The 20,690-nt window shown below is 40.5% G+C and overlaps 1 protein-coding gene across 1 annotated transcript, besides 1 other annotated feature; it reads right to left on the bottom strand.

Moving 5' to 3' along the window:
- Positions 1 to 14,278: 14,278 nt before the first annotated feature.
- On the bottom strand, positions 14,279 to 19,860 carry SMIM28 (small integral membrane protein 28). Its single transcript, NM_001368163.3, has 2 exons — positions 19,582 to 19,860; positions 14,279 to 15,265 (listed from the first exon to the last, which is right to left on the bottom strand). Exons 1-2 carry the CDS (start codon positions 19,690 to 19,692, stop codon positions 14,918 to 14,920), a joined length of 459 nt encoding a protein of 152 aa, NP_001355092.1. The 5' UTR covers positions 19,693 to 19,860; the 3' UTR covers positions 14,279 to 14,917.
- Positions 19,657 to 20,161: an enhancer, noted in NCBI's record as "H3K4me1 hESC enhancer chr6:138698741-138699245 (GRCh37/hg19 assembly coordinates)". NCBI's record gives its function as "activates a minimal SCP1, AML or CMV promoter by ChIP-STARR-seq in naive H9 embryonic stem cells {active_cell/tissue: H9 hESC(naive)}" and the evidence as "EXISTENCE:reporter gene assay evidence [ECO:0000049][PMID:30033119]".

Genomic DNA, 20,690 nt, shown 5'->3' with positions numbered 1-20,690 from the left:
TCCACTTTCATTGACCAAAGCAAGTCACCGGGCCTTGATTAACCTCAAGGGGGTGCAAAAATACTATTGATCTGTGTTTTTAAAGGAGAGCTCAAAATATTTGAGAAAAGCCCTGTCTGTAATATCATTGAGTCATACGTTGTTTATTTATTCCATACTTGTGGCAGATTTTTATTTCCCAAAGATGGTTGCAACATTATCTTCCATCCAATGTGCTGTTATTATAACGTGACTTTGACATATCTCTAATTAAGAGGTGGACATCTGTTCTCCCTTTCCTTGAAACTTGGCAGGCTTACGATGACAGTAGAAGGCTAGATCATTAAAGTTGTTCACCTAGTTTTCTTTGGGACACTTGCTCTTAGAATCCAACAGCCACGCTGAAGGGAACCCCAAGCAGCTCCATGGAGAGCTATGTTTAGTATATCCTAGCTGAGGACCTGGCTGACAGCTGGCATCAACCACTGCTCACGTTGAGTAAGCAAGTGTTCAGATGATTCCTGCCCACCATTGAGTCACCTCCAGACATCCTTGAGTCTTCCCCACCGAGGTCCCAGAAGTCATAGAGGAGATACAAGCTATCCCTGCAGTACCCACAGAAACTGTGAGGATAAGAAAATGGTTATTTTTTTAAATAACATTATGTTTGGGATAATGTTTTTCAGAAACAATAACTTGAAAAGTATTTATTCTATGCAGTATTGTAGTAGGTGTTGCTGGGTGATAGGGTTTGGCTCTGTGTCCCCACTCAAATCTCATTTTGAATTGTAATCCCCACATGTCCGGGGAAGGGCCTGGTGGGAGGTGATTGGATCATGGGAGTGGACTTGCCCCTTGCTGTTCTCGTGATACTAAGTGAGTTCTCACGAGATCTGGTTGTTTGAAAGTGTGTGGCACTTCCACCTTCACTATCTGTCTCCTATTCCGCCATGGTAAGACGTGCTTGCTTCCCCTTCACCTTTTGCCATGATTGTAAGTTTTCTGAGGCCTCCTAACCATGCTTCCTATAAAACCTGCAGATCTATGAGTCAATTAAACCTCTTTTCTTCACAAATTACCCAGTCCCAGGTAATTCTTCACAGCAGTGTGAGAACGGACTAATACAATGGGTTTTATCAACAAATAGTATTTGATTTTGGCCTTTCTGGGGTCATCCATGCACTCATAACATAGTTAAATATCTGGTCTTTTCTTTTTTTTAAAGACAGGGCCTCACTATGTTGCCCAAGTTGGAGTGCAAGCATAATGTTATTTTTAAAAATAACATTGTGATTGGCACAATCCCAGAGCACTACAGCCTTGAACTGCTGTGCTCAAGGGATCCTCCTACCTCAGCCTCCTGAGTAGCCAGGACTACAGCTGCATGCCACCGCTCTCAGCAGTTACCTGGTTATCTGGTCCCCCTATAGTTACCACTGTCTCATATGTGATAACTGTAAAATGGGTAGCAACTTGGTATTCTAACAAGAAATTTAGTCTTTTCTTTTGGCTGGCTTCTCCTTCAGTTTTGACGAGAATTAGAATACCCATTAATGATTTAGGCACAAAGCCACCTGTGAAGCGCCTCCTACACTGAGCACTTTACTCTGTGCCTGATCCATAATTGCATGATAAATGTTGAATGAATGCCAGTCATAGAATTTGGCAGACACATAGATAGGAATTGAGTGTTTTTAGGAACACCTGAGAACCACCTTTCTTATCTGCCACAGAAAATGAAGAGACACTGAGTTGTGGGGTTGAGGATAAAAAAGCTAAAGTCTAAACCTGGAAATGCTTTTAAAAATTAAAATACCAATTTTAATCAGAGTGAGGCTTGATATAACTTCTAAGTTTGTTGGAGGTGTTTATGAAAAAAGAGAGGCTCATCCATACTGATTTTAAAAGGTTTATGCTTTGAAGTTAAAAATAGATGACCAAATATATCACAACTAGATAGCTCACATTCTCAAAAGCACTTAAAAGGAACTAATCTTTGATGCAGCTAAGGTAAAATGTTTCTAATAGATCACTTGATGAAAGACCATTTCCCAAAAATTTAGGGCTGCTAAGATGTTTCTTTGAACTATTACATGTGGGGTTTTCACTGTTGCAGTAGAATTATTGTATTCTTCCTTTCTTTTTTCTTTTTCTTTTCTTTTCTTTTTGGAAATAGGGTCTTGCTGTATCACCCAGGCTGGAGTGCAGTGGCACGATCCTGGGCTCAAGCAATCCTCCCATATCAGCCTTCAGAGTAGCTGGGACTATAGGCACACACCACCATGGCTGGCAATTTCTTTAAAAATTTCTTTTAGCAATGGGGTCTTTAACTCCTGGGCTCAAGTGATCCTCCAGCCTCAGCCTCTCAAAGTGCTGGGATTACAGGTGTGAGCCACCATGCTTGGCCTGCATTATTTCTTTATTAAGATAAAGAATTAGTAGGAATTGGACTTGACTCCCTAATGACTGAGAACATAGGTGTTACAGAGGTTCAGTGTCCAACTTCCCAGAAGAGGAGTTCCTCTGCCTGCACCTTTAACAGATCTGCAAACTAGTCAGTTCTCAGCCTGCTCGTAAGTCCTGCATAATGGTCTCCCTAGGTTGTTCTACAGTTGAGTGTCTACATGTGCACAATGAGACCCAGGCACAGAAGAGATAAGTAACAGATTAAAAATTGCCTCCAAGCTCATGCGTGTTGGCTCACACCTGCAATCCCAGCACTTTAGGAGGCTGAGACAGGAGGGTCACTTGAGCCCAGGAGTTTGATACCAGCCTAAGCAACATAATGAGACCATGTCTCTACAAAAATTTTTTTTTTAAAAATTTAGCTGGGCATGGTGGCTGAGCCTATAGTCCCAGCTACTAGTGGGGCTGAGGTGGGAAGATCACTTGAGCCCTGGAGGTCAAAGATGCAGTGAGCCATGATCACACCACTCGAGCTTCGGTGATAGAGCAAGACCCTGTCAAAAAAAAAAAAAAAAAAAAAAATCCACTACCATGGAGAAAAGGTTTAGTAGTAATGCCTGAGTAATGAGACGAGTAACATCTCATCTTCTGGATCAGTGCCTCTCAAGCTATCTGCAATGAAAGATCCTTTATATATTTTTAAAATTTCCAGTTCATCTTAAACCAACATGAGTGTCTACTGCACAGGACCATGTGCAGCTCATACTATAGGCTACTGAACCCACAAGTTCTGTAGTAATTTAATTGGTCTATACCAATATCAGTGAGATGAGTCCACTGATCACATGCATGGATTTTGTAAAAAATAAGTTGCTATAAATGTCTCTAAACATGAAACCAGCCCAACTGTGCCATAGAACTGATGTTCATGGTTTCTTTTGAATAAACATAGAAATTGGCCCAGTCTTAAAACTTTAGAAAGTTATCTTTGTTTTATTTGAGTTCCTTTCTCAGGAAACCAACCGTCAGGCCTCCCAGATAGTATCAAGGAACTGAAACTTACAAGATCATTGCATCATTGCATCTGGCCAGTGAGGCCAGACCCCTTACCCTTCATGATTGTCTAACCGACCACTTGCCTCTTGTTAACCAACTCCTCTTCCTTACCCCTTCCTAACTCCTGTTTTCCCACACATAGTTATATTTCTTCCCTGCTATATACACCGCTAATTTTAGTTGGTTGGGGATTTGAGACAGATCTCTCATCTCTTCAGCTGCAGCAGCTGAGTAAAGACTTCTTCCCTGCCAATACTTGTCTCAGTGATTGGCTTTCTGTTTGGTGAGCCATGGGACTTAGATGGAACCCCTGGCATTTTAGTAACAAATGCTTACTCTCAACTTCTCTTATTATCTTATCTCAGACTGTCAACAAGTAGCCTGTGAGCCAGCATCAGTTCATGGACCATGCCTCGAAGAACACTAATTTAGATGACTATCCCTGTCTCCTGTCCAACTGAAACCTGATTCAGCCTTTCCAATCATTGCAGTACTTTTGGGGTTGATTCTCTGGATACTTAGCTTGTATTTATACTTAAGGAAGACTATTGTGTATTAACATGGATTATATGATATTATTTTATAGTCTATACTCATCATTTTCATTGCCATACATTTAAATATATAAAATTATATTTTACTTGGTTTTATTATTTGCTTATTTAATATTTAGAAATGTGTTTTTTTTCCAGGTTCACATGATGACCTGACATTATTAGCTTCTTCAGGCATTAGGACTTAATGGATGAGGTACAGATAGGCTGGAATCCATGAATGTTGCTTTCACAGCTAGAGTTTCTTTAGACATTCACTTAAAGTATAGGACAATCAAAGTCATACCCTTTTTTGTGGCTAGTACACAATTCATTCTACTTGTGAGAGTGTTAAGTGTTGGGATGTTGTTAATACCAGTGAACAGGAATTGGGCATCAGTTTCTGGACTGCCATGATTTTAGTCTCACCACAGTCATAAAATCTGTAGCCTGCGTCCTTCAACATGGGCAGCCACCCTCCACCAGGTCAGAAGAGGGTGCTCTGCTTGGCTTAAACCCACATGTAAGAATCTGGGTTTCCATCTGACCTCTGCCACTTTCTGGCCCTGGGCATGAGATTCAGCCTCACCAAATCTCTTTCTTCATTGGTACAAATGGCTGGTATTCATCACATACAATTTTGAGGATTCTAAGAGGAAATGCTCAGTTATCGCTTAGCCCAATATTTTGCATGTTGTGTCCCCATAAATGATAGTTGTGAGTATGATTTTTTGTGAATGAAAACTCTGGGCCATTTCATTAAGCCCTGAGATCCATTAATTGAACTCTCCTGGTCCTCTGCCCATTAGCTTCTCCAGGCATGAGAACTTTGTGGATGACGTACAGAAAGGTTGGAATCCATTTGTATTGCTCTCACAGCTAGAGTTCCCTTAGACCTTCACTTGACGTAGAGGACACTCCATTTGCAATAGTTGCTCTGTCCTTAAGGCAGATGTGTGTTTGAACACTGGATTGTCCCAATAAACCTCTGAAGTAGATCCTATTAGTATGATAAAGGAATAAATAAATAATGAATAATTTAGAGCCAAGAAGATTCAATGACATATGTTCTTATATGTTCTGCATATAGAAGAAAACTTATTAACATCACTTTATAACTTATTGTTATGATGGCATTAGCAAAATGGGAGAAAATAAGGGAATGAAAGTCTGGCTAGGACCACTGAATGTGTGTTGGGGAGGAAAGAGAAATTAATTCTTATTTTCTCTGAAAAAACATCCAATTTCTTGTTTCCTTGTCTGAATTTTGCTTACATTGAATCAGGATAACCTGCTTCCCAGGGCTACATTGTGACTATTGCAGGCCTAAGGCACTTTTGCCTTCGTGGTTTCCTTCCTCCACGTGAAACTTATAAAATATACAAATTACATTTTATGACTGTATTGGTGTAAAGATGAATATAATCTTTGATCCCAAGAGTTTTTTTTTCTTCTGATTTTAAAATAAATTAAAACATTTTCATGGGACCCTAAAGGTAAGGTGAGCTTTGGGGATGGTGCCTGGTGTGCCTGATTGGCCCTGGTCCTACCACAAGCAATTCGGATGTTTTAGTTTCCTTATGAGAGAGTGAGAGTGCTTGATGTATAACATGGGTTGGTAAATACAGATAGGAGCTGATACTTGCTCTGTCCTTAGGCAGATGTGTGTTTTAACATTGGATTGTCCCAACAACCCTCAGATCCTAGTAATATGATAAAGGAACCAATAAATAATGAACAATGTAGAGAAAGGAAGATTCAGCACTTCAAATCAGAATATTTAATTTTTTCTCCAATTTGTTCAGAATCCAGTAGACGAAGAATGCAAATATTGGCCCTTCAAAACATCCAACTATGTGCATTGTATAAAAACTTGGAGGGGCCGGGTGCAGTGGCCCATGCCTGTAATCCCGGCACTTTAGGCTGTAATCCCAGCCGAGGCAGGTGGATCATGAGGTCAAGAGATGGAGATCATCTTGGCCAACATGGTGAAACCCCATCTCTACTAAAAATATAAAAATTATCTGGCCATGGTGGCACATGCCTGTAGTCCCAGCTACTTGGGAGGCTGAGGCATGAGAATCCCTTGAATCCAGGAGGCAGAGGTTGCAGTGAGCCGAGATTGTGCCACTGCACTCCAGCCTGGGTGACAGAGCGAGACTCCATCTCAAAAACAAAATAGAACAAAACAAAACAAAACAAAACAAAACACCCAAACTTTGAGGAATTGAGGACATGAAGATATATTTTACCTGTAGGGCAGAGTCCTCCCCACCAGCAGCAAGAACACTGTGGGACTTAAGAGGTTTTCCACTCTGTTGCCCGGGTTGGAGTGCAGTGGCACGATCATGACTTAATGCAGCCTCAACCTCCTGGGCTCAAGCTCAAGTGATCCTCCCACCTCAGCCTCCTGAGTAGCTGGGACCACAGGTGTATACCACCATGCCTGGCTAATTTAAAAAAAAATTTTGTAGAGATGGTGTATCGCCTTGTTGCCCAGGCTGGTCTCAAACTCCTGGTCTCAAACTCCTGCCTCAGCCTCCCAAATTGCTGGGATTACAGGCATGAGCTACCATGCTAAGTCCTTTTGTGGTTTTCAATGAGCACTTTATATGGTTCTGTTTTCTCTGATTTCTTAACACATTGATTATTCTTATTTTTTAGTGGTTGGCCTAGAATTTGCAATATATATTTACAACTAATCCAAATCCTCTTTCAAATAATATTATACTGCTTCACAGATAGTGCAAGTACTTCATAATAATAAAATTCTCCCAATTCCTCCCTCCCGTCTCTTATATTATTGCTGTCATGTATTTCACTTATATATAAGCATAATCAAGCAGTTTGTTGCTGTTATTATTTAGAACAATTAAGACTTTTATCAATTAAGAATAGAACATATACAAAATTACTTTACCTTTATTTATTCCCTCTATAATCCTCTTCCTTTCTTTTTTGTTTTGTTTTTTGAGACAAGGTTTCACTTTGTTGCCCAGTCTGGAGTGCAGTGGTGCGATCATAGCTCACTGTAATTACCAGCTCCTGGGCTCAAGCGATCCTCTCACCTTAGCCTCTCGAGTAGCTGGGACTACAGGAGTGCACCACCATGCCAGGCTGTTTTTATTTTTTTTTAGATGGAGTTTTGCTCTTGTCACCCAGGCTGGAGTACAGTGGTGCAATCTTGGCTCACTGAAACCTCCACCTCCCAGGTTCAAGCCATCCTCTCACCTCAGCCTCCCCAGTAGCTGGGAATATAGGCACACAACACCACGCCAGGCTAATTTTTGTATTGTTTTTTTTAAGAGATGGGGTTTTGCTGGGTTGCCCAGGCTGGTCTCAAACTTGTGAGCTCAAGCCATCTGCCCGCCTCAGCCTCCCAAAGTGCTAGGATTATAGACATGAGCCACCGTGCCCAGCCAGAAAGAAGCATATTTCTGATGACCACGATTCAATTGTCATCTAAAACATGTTTTATACTATTCAAGTTCAGGGTACACCATTTTTTCCTCATCATCCTTAAATCATAAACTAAAACACTTTTCAGCCATAAATCGATCAATCCAGAGAGCATTTCCCAAGCAATGAATCATTTTTTATTTTTTATTAAAAAAAAATTTTTTTTTGAGATGTAGTTTTGCTCTCATTGCCCAGGCTGGAGTGCAGTGGTGCAATCTCAGCTCACTGCAACCTACACCTCCTGGGTTCAAGCAATTCTGCCTCAGCCTCTCAAGTAGCTGGGATTACAGGCGCCCACCACCATGCCTGGCTAGTTTTTGTAATTTTAGTAGAGATGGAGTTTCACCATTTTGACCACGCTGGTCCCAAACTCCTGACATCAGATGATCCGCCCGCCTTGGTCTCCCAAAGTGCTGGGATTGCAGGTGTGAGCCACCGCAACTGGCCTCATTTAAAAAATTTTTAGGTTTGTAGAGATGAGGTCTCACTTTGCTGCCCAGGCTGGTCTCAAACTCCTGGGCTCAAGTGATTCTCTTGCCTCAGGCTCCCAAAGTGCTGAGATTACAGCCGTGAGCCACCACGCCCTGCCCTCTTCCTCCCTTTATCCAAATTTCTGACCTGTGTCATTTTCCTTATCTCTGAAGAATTTATTTTAATACTTCTTACAAAGCAGATGGCTTGGCAACAAATTCCCTCAATTTTTGTTCCTGTGAGCAAGTTTTTCTTTATCCCTCACTTTTGAAGAATAATTTTGTAGAATACAGAATTCTAAGCTGGTGTTTTCTTCCTGTCAATACTTTAAATATTTCATTCTACTCCACTTGCTTGCATGGTTTCTGAGAAGTTGAATGTCATTCTTGTCTTTGCTTTTCTATGGGTAGTGTTTCTTTTTTCCCCCTGACTTCAAGATTTTTCCTTAAGTTTGATTTCCTGCAGTTTAAATATGATATGCCTACGTGTAGTTTTGGGACAATTATCCTACTTATTCTCAGGCTTCCCAGATCTGTGGTTTGGTATCTGACATTAATTTGGAGACATTTGCAGTCATTATTGCTTCAAATATTTTTTCTCTTCCTTTCTCCTTCAGGTATTCAAATGCGTATGTAACACCATTTGTAATTGTTCCAGAGTTCTCGGATGTTGTTCCTTTTTTCAGTTTTCTTTTCTTCTTCGCTTTTCCATTTTGGAAGTCTCTATTGACAAATCCTCATGCTCAGAGATTCTTTCTTCAGCTGTGTCTCGTCTACTAATAAGCCATCAAAGACATTCTTCATTTGTGTTACAGTGGTTTTGATCTCCAGCGTTTTTTGATTTTTTCTTGCAATGTCCATCTCTCTGCTTATGTTACTCATCTGTTCCTGCATGCGGTCTACTTTTTCCATTAGAGTCCTTAGCATATTAATCCTGGTTGTTTCACATTTTGGCCTGAGAATTTCAACATTCTGCCCTGAGTCTGCTTCCGATACATGCTCTGCCTCTTCAAACTGTGGTTTTGTTTTTGCTTTTGCTATTTAGTATGCCTTGTAATTTCTTGTTGAAAAGTGGACATGATGTAAAAGGAACTCTGATAATTAGGCCTTTAGTAATGTGGAGGTAAAGTGTGGGGAAGGGCGTATTCTACAGCCCTTTAATTAGGTCTCCTGTTTTGGCAAGCCTCTGCTCCTGGGCTGTAAGCTTCACAGGTGCTTCTCATTATTTCCTTCCCACTTTAGGTGGGACAGGATGTCGAGAGGGGCTAGAGGGGCTAGAGCAAGTAGTTCCCCTCTCCATGTGGAAGGCTAGTGGGAGCTGAAGCTGGGAATTTCCCTTCCCCCAGGTCAGTTAGGCTCTGGTAAAATAAATTCTCCTGAGGGCAGGCTGTGTTAAGAACAGAACGTTCTGGTGCATTTCAAAATGGTTGCTTCCTCCCATCCCTGCCAGAAGCACAAGGGGATTTTCTCTGATTTTCACTCTAAGAACCTAATAGGGCTCCTGGAGATAATACTCACAAAAGCGCGGGGGCCCTCCGTGAATGGCACCCCTAGAGTTTTTAATTCTCAGAGCTTCCAGCAATTCATCAATTACAGTTCAGGTTTTCTGCCCCCAGCTGGTTCCTGGAGGTTTCTGCTCAGGTAAGTTGTGATTCTCTGTGTCTGTCTGTCTGTCTCTCCAACTTTGGGGACAGTGGTTTGTCCTGTGACCTCAGTTCTTTAATGGACTTAAGAAGAGTTGATTTTTCTGTTTGTTCAGCTTTTTACTATTAGGATGACTCCCAAGTTCTTTACAAGTCAGGGTGGAAAGCAGACTTCATTTCCTTTTTATAAAATGATAAAGATATTTTCTGGTCCACTGTTGCATTTAGTGAAATGTCCACATTCTATTCACTAATTCTATTTCCCATTCTTAACTTTTTCTTGCTAAAGTTATTTTTTCCCAAACTACTTTTTAGTGGTTAACGGTTTAATTCCTCTATTTGCGAATTTTCTTCAACTCCACTTTTTCTTGGAGTGCTAACAACCAGATTACTTGTGTTTGCCAGTTGTGTCAACATTTAAACAAGGATGTACTGTTTACACTGTTGTTACCTATGTTCTGCCTGCAAATCCTGCTTTGTGAGTTGAATTGGCTGCAGCTGCATGTTTGGTTAATGGCGTCAGGAAACAATTTACAGAGAATGTTGGCTTATAAGTGAAGGCCCAAAACTGTATATACAGATCTCATTTTCTCTAAACCTGTTAACAAAAATCTGTCCGCGTTGAAACTCACCTGTATTTTGTGGCTCACTCATATTACCTAGAGTAATTGCTTTCAATCTTGGCTTCATATTAGAATCACTGGCTCTATTTCTTGTTTTTATTTTTTTTTAATTAAAATTTTTTTTTGGTAGAGATGGGTTCTCGCTATGTTGCCCAGGCTGGTCTCGAACTTCTGGGCTCAAGTCTTCCTCCTGCCTCAGCCTCCCAAAGTGCTGGGATTACAGGCATAAGCCACCGCACCTGGCCACTGCTGGCTCTATTTCTATGTAATTGGTCTGTGTGGGTCCTGGTATCAGAGTTCTAAAATTTCCTCCAAGTGATTTTACTATGCAATTAAAGTTACAATCCAAGAGCTAGCAAACTTTTTTTTTTTTTTTAATTTTTGTAGAGATGGTGGGGGGGCCTTGCTGTGTTGCCCAGGCTAGTCTTAAACTCCTGGCCTCAAGCAATCCTCCCTCCTCAGCCTCCCAAAGTGGTTACAGGCATGAGCCACTGTGTCCAGTCACCAGCAAACTTTTTCTCTGAAGGATCAGACAGTAAATGCTTTAGGCTTTGCGGGTCAAATAGTCTCTGTCGCAACTACTCAACTCTAACCTCATAGCATGAAAACAGCCACAGGCAAGTGAACATGGCTGCGTTTAATAAAACTTTATTTCTAGACACTGAGATTTGAATTTATGTAATTTTCATGTGTCATGAAATATTCTCCTTTCTATGTTTTTTCAACATTTAAAAATGCAAAAATCTGCAGGATATACAGAAACAGGTTGCAAGTGGGATTTGCTCTGCAGGCCAGATAGTCTGGCAACCCCTAGTTTATAGTTTATTTGCTTCACTGCTTCAGTTTGGTTCCATAAGATAAAATGTTTCTTTCCCTAAATCACTGATAACATTTTTAATGAGTCCTAGCATTGGTTACTTATTTTACATGTCTTATCAGAACATTTTAAAACATGGCAATGCATCTCCTTAGTTAGAAATTGTAGCAGCCGGGCGTGGGGGCTCATGCCTGTAATTCTAGCACTTTGGGAGGCTGAGGCAGGCGGTTCACTTGACGTCAGGAGTTGGAGACCAGCCTGGCCAACATGGTGAAACCCTGTCTCTACTAAAAATACAAAAATTAGCTGGGCGTGGTGACACGTTCCTGTAGTCCCAGCTACCTGGGAGGCTGAGGCAGGAGAATCGCTGGAACTTGGGAGGTGGAAGCTGCAGTGAGCCGAGATTGCACTACTGCACTCCAGCCCGGGTGACAAAGCGAGACTCTGTCTCAAAAAAACAAAAAAAAAAAAAAAAAAAGAGAAATTGTAGCAGTTGGGATGCTTTTGTCTTCAAGTAGCAAGCCTGGCTTAAATGGCTTAAACCAGTAGGAAAGGGCTGGGTATGGTGGCTCATGCCTGTAATACCAGCAGCACTTTGGGAGGCTGAGGTGAGTGGACCGCTTGAGCCAAGGTGTTCAAGACCATCCTCGGCAACGTGGCAAAACCCTATCTCTACAAAAAATACAAAAATTAGCCAGGTGTGGTGGCATATGCCTGTAGTCCCAGCTCCTCAGGGACCTGAGGCAGGAGGATGGCTTGAGCCGGGGAGTTTGAAGCTGCACTGAGCCAAGATTGTGCCACTGTACCCCAGCCTGGCAGACAGAGCAAGGCCCTGTCTCAAAAAACAAAAACAAAAAAACGCTAGGAAAGGTATTCTATCATTAAAATGTAGATAGTTGCAGGGTCAGTTCAGCTGCTCTACAACATCATCACAGACAGATGCGCATCCAGCAGAGAGCAAGGGAATTTCTTTCCATGTGTTTATTTTTAAATAGTGAGGCAAACTTTTCTAGAATGAGCCCCTTCTCCCTTGTAGGTATCCCCTTAGGTCCCAAAGACCAAATCAGTCCCTGGTGAGTGAATTAAAAATTGCCTAATTAAATGTCATGATGCACCCCCAGGGTTTTAGAAGGGCCCAGCCTGCCTTAAGCAGGTAGTCTCAGGATCCCAGAACCAAATTAGGGTTCTGTGAGCAAGGAGGAAGGAAGAATGGCAATTGGGAAACAATCAACTGGGTCTCTCACCGAACTAGATTCTTGGGATTAAAAAAAAATTGCGGGCCAGGCATGGTGGCTCATGCCTGTAATCCCAGCACTTTGGGAGGCTGAGGTGGGTGGTCAGGTCAGGAGTTTGAGACCAGCCTGGTCAACATGGTGAAACCCCGTCTCTACTAAAAATACAAAAATTAGCTAGGGGTGATGGCGCGTGCCTGTAATTCCAGCTACCTGGGAGGCTGAGGCAGGAGAATTACTTGAACCTGGGAGGCAGAGGTTGCTATAAGCCCAGCTCACACCACTGCACTCCAGCCTGGGTGACAGAGCGAGACTCTGTAACAAAAAAAAAAAAAAAAAAAAAAAAAATTCTGAAGAAGGCTGTGTGCTGAGCTTCTTGAATTTCCATTTGTTTATTTCCTTTAAAGAACACTAGAGAATTGGTCAGTACCATTTCCCTAAAAGAAAACCTATTGATTTTCACCTAAATAGATTATATTTTGCTTTAGTCTTCAAAACCACAACTATTATTTCTATGAGGTTACATTTTTAAAAGTATTCTATTTTTGCCTACTTCGTTGTTTTAAACTTTACCACATTGCATATCTAGTATTAAAATGTTCATGCTAAAATGACTTTTTTGAGACAGGGTCTAGTTCTGTCACCCACACTGGAGTGCAATGACACGATCACAGCCCACTGCAGCTTCAACATCCTGGGCCCAAGCAATCCTTCCACCTCAGCCTCTCAACTAGGTGAGACCACAGGTATGCACCACCACACCTGGCGAATTTTTTTTTTTTTTTTTGGAGAAATGGTGTCTCACTGTGTTGTCCAGGCAGAAGATCCTCCCACCTCAGCCTCCCCAAATGCCAGAATTACAGGCGTGAGCCACCATGCCTGGCCCCAAAATGATTTCTTTAAGCCACCATTTTTTGTTCATTTTGAACCATCAAACAATGTCTAGTTTTGAATTTTGCATTGTGAAAATAATAAAAATTGTTTTCAAAAATATTCTAGCATTGAATAAGAGTTTAAGACTATACATGTCACTTCCTGCTTTCCCTTGTCACCTCCATGGGTATTTTGATGTACCTCCCAAGTGGTAATACCCACCTATGTCTCCTTATTTGAAAAATCACTGAGGAGGCCAGGCTTGGTGGCTCGCACCTGTAATTCTAGCGCTTTGGGAGGCTGAGACGGGAGGACTGCTTGAGCCTAAGAGTTTAAGACTAGCCTGGGCAAGAAGGCAAGATCCTGTCTCTATAAAAAAAAATAAAATAAAAATTAGCTGGGCATGGTGGTGCACACCTATGGTCCCAGCCTCTCAGGGGGCTGAAGTGGGAGGATCACTTGAGCCCAGGAGGTCAAGGCAGCAGTTAGCCGTATTTGTGCCACTGCACTCCAGCCTGGGTGACAGAGCAAGACCCTGTCTCAAGAAAGAAAAAGAAAAATCTCAGAGGGAGATCTTGTATCAATATCAATTCCACTCTCAACTGTGCTAATCCTTCTGAGAGCCCTGATCCTCCAGGAGCCTGGGCTGAAATTCGACCTTTGCAATTTTCTGGGGATAACATCTGGCACAGTGGAAGATGCTTCTGCCCAGGACAGAGAGGCCAGGCTTCTGTTCTTGGCTCTGCCTCTTACAAGGTATGTTACGTTGGGCAAGTCACTTAACCTCTCTAAGCTCTAGCTTTGATGTCTATAAAGCAAGAATTTGAACTATGTGGCTATAAGGTCCCTATTGGAACTAATGGTTTTTTCTTTACCGTGTAATCCAAAATATTGACCTTTCCTTTCCAATGTTAACCTGATTTCTGCTGTCATTGTTGCTTGGTGAAGCCTACAAATTCAGTCACAGTGCTATACGTGACTTATTACATGGTAGTGTTATATAATAAAAGTGATGTCTAATAAGATAATGTGTTATAGCAGAAGCTCTCTCTTTTGCCACAGCACTGTCAGATGACCCATAATATCCTAGTGTGAGACAATCCCATGTCACTAAGCCACATCCCTCCCCCATTCAAGGAAGCAAATCAGAAGACAAATAAGCAAGGTGACACTACAAAGAAGATAACTTTGGACAGCTTTATTATTATTTTTTAACTAAAATGTTTGCGAATATCTATACTTTCATTGCTAATATTGTAATATATTTCACCATTATTTACAACACAACTATCCCCTGCAGTTCTAGAGATGTCTTTTACTCCTGCTAGAACTCTCTATATCTTGGAGCATTCATACAGAAGTGAAACAAACCATGAAACCCTGAAAAACTGGTGTGGGAAGAAAAGTTCTATTTGGTGGCAAAAGTAGTTACCTTTGGCTGGTCCAGAGTTTTTTTTCTTGCCCTTCAGAGCCTGTTCCTGTGCTCATTAGTAATTAAGTGTTTTTTTTTTTTTCAACTCACATAGAACTTTCCTTTTTTTCTCAGGAGTGTTATACATTTTAGGAGAGTGCAGTCATCTTTAGAAGAACCTGGGAAACTTTCCCCTAAGGAATGTGAAGATAGGTTAACCAGATTGGCATTTGCCAAGCTTTGCCCTCAGCCTGAAGTGCCCCATTGTCAGAGGTTGGCCAATGAATAGCAGCTTCTTGGGTCTAGGGGCCCTTCTCCCTCTTCTCATGGGTGCTGTATTAAAGGTGGAGAGCTGTGTTTTGTATGATTCCCAAGAGCAGTTTATTTTTGCTCTTCCAGTCCAGGTGAGCCCTTTTCATACTGAAGGACTGCATCCCTGGGCCTCCTCCCCAGGAGGATTTCTGGTGGCCTCTTCGTAGGAGGGCGGTAAACACTGGGAGGGGAGAGTGGCCTCCGGGGGCAGTGGGGAGTAGGGGAAGTCCTCACTGCTCCAGGCCAGGCCGGGCAGGAGGTCTGTCACCTCTCCTGCAGGTGGGTGCTCTGGTAGGTCAATGCTGAACACCTGCCCCTGGGGCGGTGGGGACTTGCAGCGGCGGTACAGGAACAGCAGCAGAAATGCCAGGAAGAGCAGGATGGTGGCCGGCAGAAGGATGCACAGGAAGGGCTCCACATCCTCCTGGGTGGAGCTCACCCCCTGGGTGCCCTGGAGTTAGGGAAGGAAGCCTAGTTAGGAAATGTGGAAAGAAGGCCTCGCATTTCTTTTTTTTTTTTTCTTTCTTTCTTTCTTTTTTTTTTTTTTTTTTTTTGAGACACAGTCTTGCTCCGTCACCCAGGCTGGAGTGCGATGGCGCAATCTTGGCTCACTGCAACCTCTGTCCCCAGGGTTCAAGCAATTCTCCTGCCTCAGCCTCCCGAGTAGCTGGCATTACAGGCATGCGCCACCACGCCCGGCTAATTTTTGTATTTTTAGTAGAGACAGGGTTTCATCATGTTGGCCAGACTGGTCTCAAACTCCTGACCTCAAGTGATTCACCTCCCTTGGCCTCCCAAAGTGCTGGGATTACAGGCGTGAGCCACAGCACCCGGCCAAGGCCTCACATTTCTAAGGCCCTGAAGTTCCCTCTCATCTTTCGTTCTTTTTTCCATTATTACTCATTCTAAAAAATCACTATCATTTACTTATGCCAGTGAGCTTAAGCCTATATGAAATAATATTAATTTACACAATAAAGTGTGAATTCAGAAAAGTATATGTCAAAAAGTATATGTTGATGAGATCTTACAAAATTTCCACGAAGTAAAAATATTGAAATAAATTTTAGTTAGTAGGTCCGCTGTTCATTTTCTTGAAAGAAAATTCTTACTATTTATGTACTTATTTTATTTAGAATGAGACCAATTATGATTTATTGCCACTAACAGATCATGTGGGACTCACTTAAGTTCTTTAATTCTGGAACAAAATCTCATTATGTGTTCATAGCACATGTAAATATTACATGCATGTCAAATGTAAATAACTGAATTTGGATTTGATGGTGCGTATGATGAATGAGATTTTTTAAATTCTTTAAATTTGTTTTTGTAAAACTTGTAGGATAAATATGAAAACATTTTACCTTTTTAAAGACAAAGAATTACAGATAAATTCTTGGGCAACCTAAAAGGTATCGATTTTATAATATTAGCTCACAGAAATTATAATGGCTCCTGATGGCATAAATAATACAATAGGCATGAAATGATGCTTAAACAGCAAAGTAGAAAAGCAACGTTAAAAAAAAATACTGTTCCTAATTGCACAGAGACTGCCTTTAATAAGGCTACTAAGAAATAACGAAGTATTAAAAAGTTTCTCTCTTTTATAAAGCATATAGTAACAAGTGTAAATGTTAGTATCTACTATGGAGGAAAATAAAATATTTTAAAGCCTTGTAATTATGTTTAAAATAAGCAAACAGAATATTAAGCTCCTTGCTTATTTAAAAGAAAACCTAGGCCAGGCTCAGTGGCTCATGCCTGTAATCCCAGGACTTCGGGAGGCTGAGGTGGGAGGATCACTGGAGGTCAGGAGTTTGGAACCAGCCTGGCCAACATGGTAAAACCCCGTCTCTACTAAAAGTACAAAAAAAATTAGCAGGGCGTGGTGGTGGGCACCTGTAATCCTAGCTACTGGGGAGGCTGAGGCAAGAGAATCATTTGAACCCAGGAGGCAGAGCTTGCAGTGAGCCGAGATTGTGCCACTTCACTCCGTCCTGGACAACAAAGTGAGACTCCGTCTCAAAAAAAAAAACACACACAAAAAAAACCCTCATAAACTATGAGAGATGAGGTTCACTCCTTGATTTTGGTGGAAAGGACACATGTTTTGCAGGTCATTACCTCTTAGGAGACTGGTTTATCTAGCCTGCATTTATTTATGTATTTATTTATTTAGAGACGGGGTCTCGCTCTGTCGCCCAGACTAGAGTGCAGTGGTGCGATCTCGGCTCACTGCAAGCTCTGCTTCCCAGGTTCACGCCATTCTCCTGCCTCAGCCTCCCAAGTAGCTGGGACTACAGGCACCCGCCACCACACCCGGCTAATTTTTTGTATTTTTAGTACAGACGGGGTTTCACCGTGTTAGCCAGGATGGTCTCGATCTCCTGACCTCATGATCCGCCCACCTCAGCCTCCCAAAGTGCTGGGATTACAGGCATGAGCCACTGCGCCCCGCCCTAGCCAGCATTTTATAATGCTAGATGTTTGTATAATCTTTTGTTATTCCCTAAAGACTTTATAACTATGTGTGTGGTTTTGACTTGAAATTAGATGGTTTATTTAATACTTATATTTCCAGATATTTTGTCCTTGGTAAGATATGAATTAAGATATTTTAGCTTAAAGAACATAAAAATAGTGTTCTTGAGAAGCAGAGCATCATCTTTGGGGGTTGACAGCTCTGTGTTTGAATTCCTATAATGTTCTAACACTGTGTGACTATGGACTGTTCACTTGCCTTCTCTGGGCCTAGGCTTTCTCTTCTATAAAATGGAATTAATAACATCCGTTTTCAAGGGTTAGCATGAGAAGTAAATGAATTAAAGTGTGTAAAGCACTTGGTGATAGTACTTATATATTTATATCTCAGTGACTCGAGCAGTCAAGTTTACTAAACCTAAAATACTAAAGATAATCAGAGAAATCTAGAAATTTATTGGTGCGGCTAGAAGATAAAATCTGGCATAACTAAATTTATATTTTAATAAATACATATTTTCAGAAAAAGTCTCTTATGTTTTATGTATGCGATTGTTAAATTTCTAAACTATAAATTCCTTCGGTTTTCTTACATAAAATCTAATTTGATATCAGAATTATTAACTTAAAATCTGTTGTGACATAATAAGGACTTTGATTACAAAGACTGTAAGAGTAGATGAACTCATAAATTTGCTATAATTATTAAGAAATCAAGTTGGAGTAAGAACATTTTAACTATAATTTGCTTTTTCTTTCTAGATGAATCACCAAAAAAGTTTTAACATTTTTAATGATTAAATAATAGCTTAATAGCTTATACTAGCTTAATAATTCAATAATAGCTTTGGCTATTATCTCTTTTAATACTTAAACCCTGATAAGCATGGACCATTTCTCATAATCTATTTTTATTTCATTCTCTATCAATAATATGGATGATAACAGTTTCTGATCAGTTGTGGCCATAAATTTTAAATTCTCTATTATATCATAGAAAGTCAGTATGCATAGAATATACAGATACTTAATGTTCTATTTAAAAGGTTTTATGTAATAGACCCTTTGTTTATAATTATGCTACTTAAGGTATTCTCAATACTAGTTGCAAAAATTTGAGAAAGGAGAAATACCACAGTCCCTGCTGTAATCAGTTATTCCGTTGGCTGAGTTAAATTTGTCCACATAGCAAGTGGCATTAGAAGACTTTTATACAGCAAACTAGTACAATTTCTTGAGACAAAGGAGTTTTCCAGTTAAGAGAGGCCCAGTGCTATCAGACAAATTCATTACAGTATCCTTAATTTGCTTATTTAATTATTTATGTTATATTACTTAGAATTGTTGGATTTTTTTTAAATGTGGAAAGGATGTCTTTTTTAGTCAAATATCCTAATTTGCTTACCCGCCTCAAAGTTATTTTTTAACTTTTAATGTTTTTCTGATGTTTATATTGGCTAAAGGCATTTGTTGTTCGGGGATGTTTTAAAGAAATGTCCAATTACAGGTGTAACTGCTAAAGGATTTCTCAATATCCACATCAATATATATTTATGTATTTTTTTCTGTAAAATGTGGTTTTGGAGAACTTAAATACTAATCTCACCAGTTGGTTTTCCAGAAAGCAAGAAAATAGTTTGATTTCCTTCTTTCTTGTGTTGTCGGCGGTGTCACTCATTTCTCCTCTGATTATAAAATTAATTCTTAGGTTTTAGGTTTGTACAAATATTTGTCCTTAGTGCTGCTTCCTACGGAGACTGCACTGGTGATTTGCCAGACAAAGCAAAAGCAGCTGCTGCATTTCTTAGTGAGAGACAAAATCTCTTTAACCCCCTGCTGTCTTACCTGAAGTAAGATGCATGGTTTCTGCTAACACTTAAAAACAGTGGTTAATACACAGCCAGGACCAAAGAGAGGCTCTTATTTTTGTATATGTAGACATTGCTTACTGAGCAAAGAGCGAAGTTATAACACTGAGGCATTTCTGTTGTAACACCTCTGTTGACTGCTGCTTTCAGGTGTTCTTCAACATATTTCAGATATCAAGTGTTCCTAGGATATAGTTGTGCCAAGTTTTACTTGAATGTATCCTTGTCCAAAAAATGCAACTTTCAATTTATCCCCTTTAGACCATGCCAATCAGTGAATTCCTATTTTTGTTATAGCTGTAAGACAAAATGCTGCCACTACATTTTATGATCCTAAAACCATAGATATTATGGATTTTAAAACTGATGAAGATGCTTTGGGGAAGAAAAGACTTAAGTCATAAGTACAGACCTGCAGCTGGGTCTCCAGGAGAGGCAGGCCGGGCTCGCTGGTTAACCACTCATATGTCCCCCGGCCAGCATGTCCAAACTTCTTCCAGCTGCTGCCCAGCAGTCCCCGCATGTTTTCATCCAGCTGATGCCCTGGCCACCCTTCCACCTTGCTGCCCAGATTTCAACAATGCTGCTTGCTCTTGGCCTGGATCCAGTTTGGATGTGCTTGGCTGATGGCTGTTGGTAAACTCGTCCTCTGATGAATGGCAACAGGGGAAAGAAACCAACCAGAGAGACCTCTCAGGACTGACTGTTTAGATTCGGTGCCTCTGGATTTGTGTCTGTGGCCTTTATCACTATAGGGGTTGGCATCAGATATCAGATATGGAATAGATTTCAGACAAGAGAGTTTTCTGCACCAGCATTACTACAGAGCAAAGAATGGCCTCAGTGAATAAAGAGCTGTTTATATTTAGGATGTAAACAAGACCCTTTCCCTTTGCTTACCACACCTCTCTCTAGAGACCTATCTGACCAAGGAAAACTATTCAAGCTGAATTTCCCACTAATTATTTCTGGATTCTGTTTTACAGAGAGAAGGGATATTTGGTAGAAAAGCAAAGACTCATTATTAATATTTTACTGAATTATTCAGATGAAAGATGCCTAGTGATAAAGTTGTACAGAAGACAGACCATAGCTTAGATTGTTTGGATGGAATGTTTGCCAATTTCAATTTTTTAAAAAATCGAATTACCAGTACCTAAATAGTCTTCCTTCTGATTATCTTGTGAACTTCATAATGTTATTGATATCAAGCTTAAAACAAGGAGTTTTCAATCTGAATGTTCACTGAGTTGATTTTGGGATACTTGATTCTACATATTATTTAAGATATGGTGGTTGAATTCTCTTTTAGTGGAATAAACTTCAGCTTCAAAGATTGCACAATTGTTATAGAGAATAGTCTGAGCAATTTAAAAAGAAAAAAAAACAAAGATCTATGCAAAATGTTATAACTCAATGTTACAATCACCCATATCCTTATCTAAGCATCATTTCTGTACAAGTGATTATCATGCTGAAATAATATTTCTTAACCAGGATTCTTTTTTTAATCTTGATTGA

The sequence above is a fragment of the Homo sapiens genome, chromosome 6 (assembly GCF_000001405.40).
Source record: "Homo sapiens chromosome 6, GRCh38.p14 Primary Assembly".
Classification (NCBI taxonomy): domain Eukaryota; kingdom Metazoa; phylum Chordata; class Mammalia; order Primates; family Hominidae; genus Homo; species Homo sapiens.
The sequence above is the reverse complement of the archived record's forward strand: the minus strand, read 5'-3'. Positions and strand labels throughout refer to the sequence as shown.

Bases quoted from the DNA above. Each gene is read 5' to 3' on its own strand.
- SMIM28 (NM_001368163.3), bottom strand. From the start codon at position 19,692: ATGCGGGGACTGCTGGGCAGCAGCTGGAAGAAGTTTGGACATGCTGGC. The intron at 15,266-19,581 runs GTCTGTACTTAT...CCCTAACTCCAG, and splicing joins TCCTGGAGACCCAGCTGCAG to GGCACCCAGGGGGTGAGCTC.